Source organism: Homo sapiens, chromosome 4 (genome assembly GCF_000001405.40).
Source record: "Homo sapiens chromosome 4, GRCh38.p14 Primary Assembly".
Taxonomy (NCBI): domain Eukaryota; kingdom Metazoa; phylum Chordata; class Mammalia; order Primates; family Hominidae; genus Homo; species Homo sapiens.
This window is the reverse complement of record NC_000004.12, coordinates 176,789,043-176,799,188: the sequence shown is the minus strand read 5'-3', so window position 1 is coordinate 176,799,188 and position 10,146 is coordinate 176,789,043. Positions and strand designations below refer to the sequence as shown.

The window sequence follows — 10,146 nt, the reverse complement described above, 5'->3', positions numbered from 1 at the left end:
ACAGGCACAGTATGCAACAGGGAGAATTTGTGGATTATTAGAGATAGCCACCACTGGAGTTGTTTAACTCTGAGAAAGAGGTCATGTGACAGTGGCAAGTCTTTTGGTTGATATGATAGTGCCAGGATCAAACATTCACAAGACCACCTTTTAAGACACAGAAATTCTCCTTGAGCATTTAAGGGCAAATAGGAAACTGAGTCCTTGACCCTCATTTGGAAGAGCGTCACTGATTTCCTACTTCCTTTTTTTCCCCTTTAGTTTCATTCCGTGAGGGCTTGGAGGTCTAGCAACAGGATGATCTTCCTTTCCAGTTTTGCTTGTATGTTAAATTTCCCTATTTCTGACATTAGGCCACTCAGAGAAAGTGAAGCAAGAGCTGGCACTGCACATGTTCCAGGACCTACATCTGAATGTTTTCTATAGGTGTGATGGAGCATCCCCCTGAGGTTTCCAATGCTGTCATTTTTGTTTTGGTGCATAAACTCCAAAAGTTTTGTCTAAAATTTATAGCTTTTTTAAGTTCCTCTGGTTTTACTCTGAAATGTGGAGTCTCTTAAATCATACTCAAGGTATTCACACTGCCTTTTCCAACACATTTTGTTGCATTTGAGGTTGATAATAACCTATAAATCAGTTGATAGAGATCTGGGAACCCTGAATTATGTGTTCCTAGAACTATTGCAAATTTCTCTGTAAATTTATACCTACCTTGCATAGACTTTGGAAGTTTTTGAAAATGACGTTTACCTTAGACCCAACCCAGGGCTTAAAATCTGCCATAATGAGCTTATACTGATTTGGTCAACTTTAAGAGCCAATTGAGCATTTAGTGTTTCTAGCTGGCCAGAAGAAAAGGGACATCAGAAAGAGTGTCAGGGAAGGGGAACTTGGAGGGCAACTGGGTGAGAGAACAGGAATAGTAAAGGTAAAAGCTTTTTGAGTCAAGTGGTGATTTGGGCAGATCTAAAAAAGAGCTTTTCACATTTTTTCATTTGCGCCTTCCGTGGAACAATTACTGAAGCAATTGTGGAATCTGTATTTTTATTGTAAGACTTCTTATATCAATCAGAACATACATATCATTGAATGTTTGGAATTTCACTCTCTTTCCATAAGGCACCTCTCAAATGAACAGTTTTGTTCTTACAAAAGGTTTCTCAAATGGCCTCTGAAATTCTAAATTAATGTTGGTAAAATTAAGCTGTTTAGACAGAGATACATAGTATCAGTTATAGTGCAAAATACATGTAGGAGGCAGGAATATGGCTTGGAGGGGATATGAACTTGGGTTTAATCTGAGACAAAGGCAAAATGATCTGGCAATGGGTGGTCAAATGAGTTGTTTGTGTACCTCATGCCCTTGGCTCCCCAAACTAAAGGTTAGGTAATCTCCAGTGGCAAATCTGATAAATGTGCAGTTTGGGAAGACGGAAAGTTTGACCAAGAGATCTCATTCAAAATCAGTGTCTCACAGACAAAACAAGACTTCAAATCGTTGTATAAGCTTTTGATAAAGTTTATGGCAATATCTGTCTAGTCAATACCAATCCTTCTGGGCATCTAGTCCCAAGGGATGGCTCAGTGAATTGACTTAACAGGACCCGTGCTTATTCTCTTTCTTATGAACTTCCTTTTTTTGACTCCCATGAGAAAATTATGAAGGCAGCAGGGATAAAAAGCAATAGTAATAAGGCAGATATCTATTGAGGATAAATTTGTTCAAGTCTGATCAAATAATCAAAGGGTTCTTGAAAGGAGATCTTTTAGCATTTGGTAGCTTGATAAAAAGAAACTGGGACTGAAATCTAACAGAAGACATAACCCTTCATTGCAGTCAGAGTGATTCCCCCCACCAAGCCAGGAAGCTCAAGAGGCCTCAGTGATTTGCACTATTTTTGAATTTAGGATCTTTGCTTGAGCTACTAGGGAGAAGGATTTCAATGGGACCTCCAAGTTGTTGTACACCCGAAAATATCAGTAGAAAAGTTTTCAATAAACAAAAGTTCCATTTAGCCGAACCTACAGCAGTAAGGGAGAGTGCCACCTGGACAGGGTCTTAGGGTGTCTTGGGTAAGTCAGAAGCAGAATAGTTGTAGAGCTTTGGAGTCTGGACACGAGTAGTTTAAGGTGGGTCTTTCAAAGTGGGGAATTGAGTAAGATTGGGCAACGTTCATGATCTAGTAGTTTAGGATCAGTTAACATCTGTAAGTGAGAGTTTGGGTAAGAAAACTGTCATTAATAAGCAGGCTGTTTACCAGAGTCAGAATATTATTATCTTCGATATATTGTTTTGCCAGCATTTCTTGAAGCAAACACTGAATTTAAATACTGGATTGCAGTCTTATCTTTTCCAGGCTAATGTTTCCTAGAAGAAACAACTAAGTCATGTGTACATAACTGGTTCATAGTTTTACCTAAGTCATGTTCACAGCTGATCTCAATTCTTAAAGCCTATGATTTTAATATCAGAAAAAGTAGAACTTCAAATAAAAATATCAGAAGTTAAAAAAATGACATTGTATACTACCAAGAAGAAAATTAGATCAAAATGATATAGTATCCCATTATGTTAAAAAATAACAGGAAGAACTACTGTCAGAAACAGAAAAACATGTCAACAATTATAACTGGAGATTTTAACGTCATTCCCAAACAAGATTTGAACATTATAATAAGCTCAAAATTAATACCCAACAAAAATAAAGCACACACAGAATTAGTTGCAATGATCAGCCATGTCCAGGACTACAAAGAAAGCCTGAATGCATTTCTAAAAGCAACATCATTTATAGCAAAAATTAAATATAATAAAATTAGAAATTGATAAAAATCATATATCCCTAAACTAAGAAAACACAAATAATTTGGGGGTTAAAAATATAAACAAATTAAGATATATTTGCAACTGTTTGCCAAAGGAAGCACTACGTATCAAAATTGAGAAATACAAGTAAAGCAGAATTTAGACAAAACTTGTATTTTATTGATCGACTGATTGATTGCAGAGATGGGGTCTTGCTGTGTTGCCCAGGCTGGTCTCAAAGTAACTTCAAGTGATCCTCCTTCCTCAGCCTCCCCAAATGCTGGGATTACAGATGTGAGCCACCACACATGGCCCGAAACTTGTATTTTTAAACTAAAAAGAAGAAAAATGAACTAAGCATTCAGCTAAAAAAGCTTGAAATGAAGCAACAAAGTAAAACTAACAAAGCAAGAAGGTAGGGAATAACAAATGAGAAATAAAGTAGATGGTCAGAATGGATATTAGAGAATGTACAATGGATATATTATCATCATTATTTTGCCATCCAAAACTATCATCTCCCATATCTACTTGGGAGGCTGAGGCAGGAGAATAGCTTGAACCCAGGGGTTGCAGTGAGCTGACATGGTGCCACTGTACTCTAACTGCACTCCAGCATGGGAGACAGAGCGAGACTCCATCTCAAACAAACAAACACACACACACACACACACACACACACACACACAGACACAAAACACAAAGAACAAAACCTATCATCAAAGAAAACAAAAACTCAATATGTAAAAGAGGTGTTATTCTGGCTGGGGCCCTGCTACCTCTCTTTCTCCACTGACTGAGCAATGCTTTTTGAATAACCAGATTTAGAAGACCTGTTGTAAAATAGGTCTTGCATGAAGCTAGTGATGAACTCACAAACCAGTGAAAAGGACTTTCTCAACCTTTAAAATCTGCTAGTGGCAAAAAGTGTTTCCAGGGGGTAAGGAAGAAAAAAAACCAAAAAGTCCTGAGCAACTATTCGTTTTTACCTTAAGACATTCTGTGTGTGTGTGTGTGTGTGTGTGTGTGTGTGTGTGTGTGTGTGTGTGTGTGTGTGTGTGTTTTAAGTAGAGACGGGGTTTCACCAACGTTTGAAAATATTTATCATGGTCTCCCTAAGATGGACGGTGTTAGCTAGGATGGTCTCGATCTCCTGACCTCATGATCCACCCGCCTCGGCCTCCCAAAGTGCTGGGATTACAGGCGTGAGCCACCGTGCCCGACCAACCTTAAGACAAACAACTACTGCATGATTGTTTTTGGAGACCTTTTTTTTATTCAAATAAACTTTTTGCCAGCATTTTCTGACTCAAAGTATAGCAGCAGGAAGATAACACTTTTGTGAGAAAAAAGTTTGAATACAGCTTACTGCTGTATTTAAATGAAACAGTAGTTAATATGATATTAATATATTTTGGATATATTTTGAGTTTGTTGATTTTCCAGTCTTCACCCGCTGCTAGGCCTGTGGGTGTTGGAAATGCCTGTGGTTCTCAATTTTGTTTGCCTATTAGAATCCTGATGTCCAAGCCTTACTCCAGTTAGACCAGTTAAGCCAGAAAGGCAGAAGGTGTACTCAAGCATCTGTTTTTTCAAAATCTCCTTTTGTGATGCCAAGTGCAATCAAAGTTTAGAATCATTGTAATAGCAAATGGTTGAATGGAAACTCCACCTTCTATTCAAATCCTACCCCAGTCTGCCCTTAGCTGTTCCCTTTTCACAGATCTATCAATGTCTGAAGATAACTATGGCAGGCTGATCAAATATGCATAGAGCAGGAAGACAGCAAGAGAGTGATACACTGACCATGTTCCAAATCACAAAACATCTCAACAGGCTAGATCATGGACCGAGTCTGATGGGATGGAATTTCATAAAGATACATAAAAAAGCATCTTGGATACAGTAAACTTAACTCCACAAATACAGGGGAATTTAGACGTGACTAAGTAGCAGTACATATGAAAAATTATTGAGGAATTTTGTTGACTTTAAGGGTAGTGTGAGTCAACACTGTGATTTGGCTGCCAGAAAATAAACTCAATCCAAGGCTGTATCAACAAAGGCATACTGTCCATTCTGCATGCTCATTACAGCACTAAGTACCGAGCCATGTTCTCAACCGCATACTTCATGAACATGGAAAGCTAACAGTATGGTTAAGGGGGGAAACTGGAACTGTCATCTTGGGGAATAAAAGGGATATTTAGCCAGGAGTAAAGTTAGCTTAGGGAGACCATGATAAATATTTTCAAAATATTTGAAGGACTCAGTTGTGGAAGTGAGATTAGATTTATTGTGTAAAACTCCAGGAGTCAAAAGCAATAGAGAGATAGAAGGAAATGCTTTTCAGCAGTGTTGCTCATCAATAAAGGGAGTGAACAGCCACACAGAATGGAAGGTTCCCTGTCCTTTGAGATATTTAAGCCTTCAAGTAAATTATGGGTGAGGAGTTTCAAATCTAGAGTTGAACCAGATAAGAAAGTCTCTTCTTCCGGTAAGATATTATGGACCTATAACATCTGTGTACTTAAAAGTAGATTGGGAGTGAAAGGCAGACTTTTGATGTTCTGTACACTGTTGAAACCCCTTAGCGTGGTCCTCTGTAACCTGCTCACCCTGCCCCAAGGAGGCAGCTAGCCAATGCCACCAGCCCAACGGAAACCCCAGTGCTTTTCCAATGGGGAAATGCAGTCACTTTTCTTTGGATGCTACACATCCTTTCTGGAATATGTCTCACACACATCTCTCTTTATCACCCCCTTTTTCAAGTAAACCAACTTCTTGCAGAAGCTGACAATGTGTCTCTTTACTCTCCACGAAGATTCTGGCCCTTCTCTTCACCTGTCAGAAGTTTAGGATTCCAAAGGGATCATTAGCATCCATCCCAACAGCCTGCACTGCATCCTGAGAACTGCGGTTCTTGGATCATCAGGCAACTTTCAACTACACAGACCAAGGGAGAGAGGGGACCCCTCCGAGGTCCCATAGGGTTCTCTGACATAGTGATGACCTTTTCTTGGAACTTTTACAACCCCCAGGACATTTCCAAACTTTGAGCAGGGCTCTGGGGGCCAGGCGTGCGGGAGGGAGGACAAGAACTCGGGAGTGGCCGAGGATAAAGCGGGGGCTCCCTCCACCCCACGGTGCCCAGTTTCTCCCCGCTGCACGTGGTCCAGGGTGGTCGCATCACCTCTAAAGCCGGTCCCGCCAACCGCCAGCCCCGGGACTGAACTTGCCCCTCCGGCCGCCCGCTCCCCGCAGGGGACAGGGGCGGGGAGGGAGAGATCCAGAGGGGGGCCGGGGGAGGTGGGGCCGCCGGGGAGGAGGCGAGGGAAACGGGGAGCTCCAGGGAGACGGCTTCCGAGGGAGAGTGAGAGGGGAGGGCAGCCCGGGCTCGGCACGCTCCCTCCCTCGGCCGCTTTCTCTCACATAAGCGCAGGCAGAGGGCGCGTCAGTCATGCCCTGCCCCTGCGCCCGCCGCCGCCGCCGCCGCCGCTCAGCCCGGCGCGCTCTGGAGGATCCTGCGCCGCGGCGCTCCCGGGCCCCGCCGCCGCCAGCCGCCCCGCCGCCCTCCTCCCGCCCCCGGCACCGCCGCCAGCGCCCCCGCCGCAGCGCCCGCGGCCCGGCTCCTCTCACTTCGGGGAAGGGGAGGGAGGAGGGGGACGAGGGCTCTGGCGGGTTTGGAGGGGCTGAACATCGCGGGGTGTTCTGGTGTCCCCCGCCCCGCCTCTCCAAAAAGCTACACCGACGCGGACCGCGGCGGCGTCCTCCCTCGCCCTCGCTTCACCTCGCGGGCTCCGAATGCGGGGAGCTCGGATGTCCGGTTTCCTGTGAGGCTTTTACCTGACACCCGCCGCCTTTCCCCGGCACTGGCTGGGAGGGCGCCCTGCAAAGTTGGGAACGCGGAGCCCCGGACCCGCTCCCGCCGCCTCCGGCTCGCCCAGGGGGGGTCGCCGGGAGGAGCCCGGGGGAGAGGGACCAGGAGGGGCCCGCGGCCTCGCAGGGGCGCCCGCGCCCCCACCCCTGCCCCCGCCAGCGGACCGGTCCCCCACCCCCGGTCCTTCCACCATGCACTTGCTGGGCTTCTTCTCTGTGGCGTGTTCTCTGCTCGCCGCTGCGCTGCTCCCGGGTCCTCGCGAGGCGCCCGCCGCCGCCGCCGCCTTCGAGTCCGGACTCGACCTCTCGGACGCGGAGCCCGACGCGGGCGAGGCCACGGTAGGTCTGCGTTAGGGTTTGCGGAGAACCCGAGAGTTTGCGTTAGGGTCTGCGGCGGACCCGAGAACCTGCGCGGGGGAAAGTGTGTGTGCTTTAAGCTTGTGTACGTGGGATCCAAAGTTACTGAGCTCAGTGCACGCTGCTTTGGAGAAAAATCTTCTTCTTTTTAAATAGAAAGTTGTTACTAGAGAGGCAAGCAAGTTACACGAGTGAAGGGCCCGGAGAGGTGCCCAGTGAGAGATCCCGAAATCTATTTCAGACTGGTTTCCTCTGGGGCAACCAAGGGGTCTTGAACCCTGCCCAGTCAGCGGGGCTCTGGAGAGTATGAGTTCATTTTGGTCGGGAAATGCTCGTTTCTTTCCCCAGCTGATTCATGGGACTCCAAACAGATTCTGGGACACTGGTGATCAGTCAACCCAGCCTTACTTTCCTGGAGTGTTCATAGTCTGCAGAGCACCAGGCGCTGTGAGCGACTTTAGAAAAAAAGTGTCAGGGACTTTAGTAACCAGGCTCCAGAGCTTTCAGAGTTCACTTGAAGTTGGTCAGACTTGAGATGTAACGGGAGATTAGAGTCAGTTAGATCACAATCAAGCAATGCAAGGCTTGTTTCAACTTTATAAGCTCTTCATTCCTAAAATCTGGTCATGAGATACTGCAAACTAAGTTTTTTTTTTTCTTGTTTGGGTTTTTTGTTTGTTTTGTTTTCTTTTAAATAAGAGGTGTTTAATCCTTTGCCTGAAAATGTTGCCAAAATACTTTTGAGGCATCCTGATTTTGAAAAAGGATTTGTGTGTGTTCCTACTTCTTACTGGCTCTTCCAAAAGAGTATATCTTTATCTAAAAAGTTCATACCTGCCATAACCATATAGAGTATGCTTAAGAGAGTTCCTAAAGAAGTTATATTCGACATTTCAGTTCAAACACTTGCAGTACCCCTTGCTGGAACTATACTGCGGTAGTTTATTTCAACTGGTGGCAAGTGGAGAGGTACCTGTGGTGTGTTACAGTCAACTTTAATTTGACTGTTGATTAACACATACACAATGTGTAGAAAATAGCCTTATATTTTGAAATATTTTATTTATATTTATATTTTGAAATACACTTAAAGATTGAGAAGACTAATTTTTGGAAATCAAACTACCTTTGCATTTAAATTTTGGGAAAACATTAAAATGTTGGAATGTGTAATAATTTAATATAGGGGTTAAAGGAATGCCTCTTGAGTAAAAACAATATACATGAAATAGAACAGACTGCATTCTGTGAATCACAAAAATAATTTTCAGTGCCTATACTTACATTGCCGTAACTATAGTGATGAAAATATCTTTCTGTTCTTAAATACCGCAGAAATGTAATAATCGGCTCAATAACGCTTCTGATAATTTGAGTCCTTGATTTTGCAGTACCTATTTGCTATTTCTGCAAAGTCAAAACTAGTAAAAGTATGATTTAGTAAGGCAACATCTCTGTATTGGTTACGGTCACTTACTTTGGTTTACAGTAAGAAAATGTGCAGTAGAGAGTAAAATGAGAAACATTCCCTGATAAGCCAATAGCCTGTATGAGAGTCACTCACTGCTGGGTGAGTCTAGAATTAATGTACCTTGAGTGTGTGTGTGTGTGTGTTTACGTGTGTTATGTATAGGTATGGGATTGGAGGATTAAAAAAGTTAACTTATTTTTAACTTTCAAAAGTGTCTTCGTTGGTGATGTAAAATTTGCCATTGGTGATATGGCAAATTTTACCATTGCTGTGAAAATCACTATGCATTTTTGTTTGCAAATGTCGCTTTTCATATTTAACCATTTTTATATTCTGTATGGTGAATATGGGTTAGTATTCTGCATGTGATGTGGGTTCCTTTCCTATGTGATGAAACATCATTTCCCATATGAAACATCATCTCTGAGTTCCATAGACCACAAAGCAGTATTTCATTGCTCCATTAAAGTGTCGTTCCCCAGTGGGTGAATAGAGCCTTGACAGGGCATGTGTCATTAATGCATTCAGTGAAACTGCTGTGTCCTTGCTATGAAACATGTCACACAACTGCCAAGAAACTGATATGAAGACTCTATGTCTCTCCCTAGTGGCCTGTACAAGCACCACATTTAGATTTAAGCACTAGAGAAGAACTGGGGAGAAATCAATTGTTAATTTTCTATAACTACATGAACCCCAAGAAAATATTTCAGAAGGTAAACAGAAGATGCTAAATATCTATAATCCCAATAGATGCAATGTTTTCATAACTTTCACCTAGGAACTTTTTTAATATTTAAAAAATCAAAAATAGCACACAAACTATGAACCAAGGTTAGCCATCCAGCCCTTCAGCCCACCCGTAAAGCCATGCAAAAGATTGTAGGTAAAAATCACAAATAGAATGAAGATCTCCTTATTCCTCGACTTATATTTGCATTTACTGGATTCCTATTTCTAGTTATTTGTGGTTGCATGACTTACTGAAAAGTCTTAAAATGTTTCTCTGAAGGATGTTAACACAAACAAGACAGTGTCAAAAAAGTAAGGCAGGCAAAAGTAAAATTAACTGGACATGATGGGAACAAAAGAGAATAGCAAGTCTGAAGCTGTTCTATTTACAATTTTTCTTATAGTATATGATTATGTTTGTCAACATCTACTCTTATAAGAGATTTCTGACATTCCTCTGAGTGATGCTACTTATATGAGGTTTTAGATATAGAAAGTTCAATTCATCTTTCATTTTGATTTCCACTCCATTATAGTCTTCTGAACTATGAATATCTGATTGATAGCTATTTATTCACAAGACAGTTATCAAAATTGCTTCATAGAAAGCAGTTAATTACTGATCTTAGTGGCATATGTCTAAGACCCGTAGATCTCTAATCCTGTCCTTTTCAGTTGAGTTGAGAAAGACGGAGGGTAGTGGATTTAGATTTCATTTTGGACTTCCAGTTCTGGTTCCGGTTCCTCTTGAGAGGAAGGTCCTGGCCTCCTAGTTATCTCCATGTGTCCAACCCAGAATGCTGTTTCTCAGCTCTTGCTGGGGTTTTCACCAACAGAGGAACTGGCGTGAGACTAATGAAGGTTTCCCGAATCCCTGGGACTGTGCTTGCCTGCTTGCCTT

The 10,146-nt window shown here is 42.8% G+C and overlaps 1 protein-coding gene across 1 annotated transcript in view; it reads left to right on the top strand.

Moving 5' to 3' along the window:
* Positions 6,267-10,146, top strand: part of VEGFC (vascular endothelial growth factor C) — a 109,385-nt gene continuing 105,505 nt past the window's right edge. Inside the window, exon 1 of the mRNA NM_005429.5 lies at positions 6,267-7,024. Within this exon, the coding sequence (NP_005420.1) occupies positions 6,878-7,024 (147 nt within the window). The 5' untranslated portion in view covers positions 6,267-6,877. The remainder of the gene's footprint in view (positions 7,025-10,146) is intronic.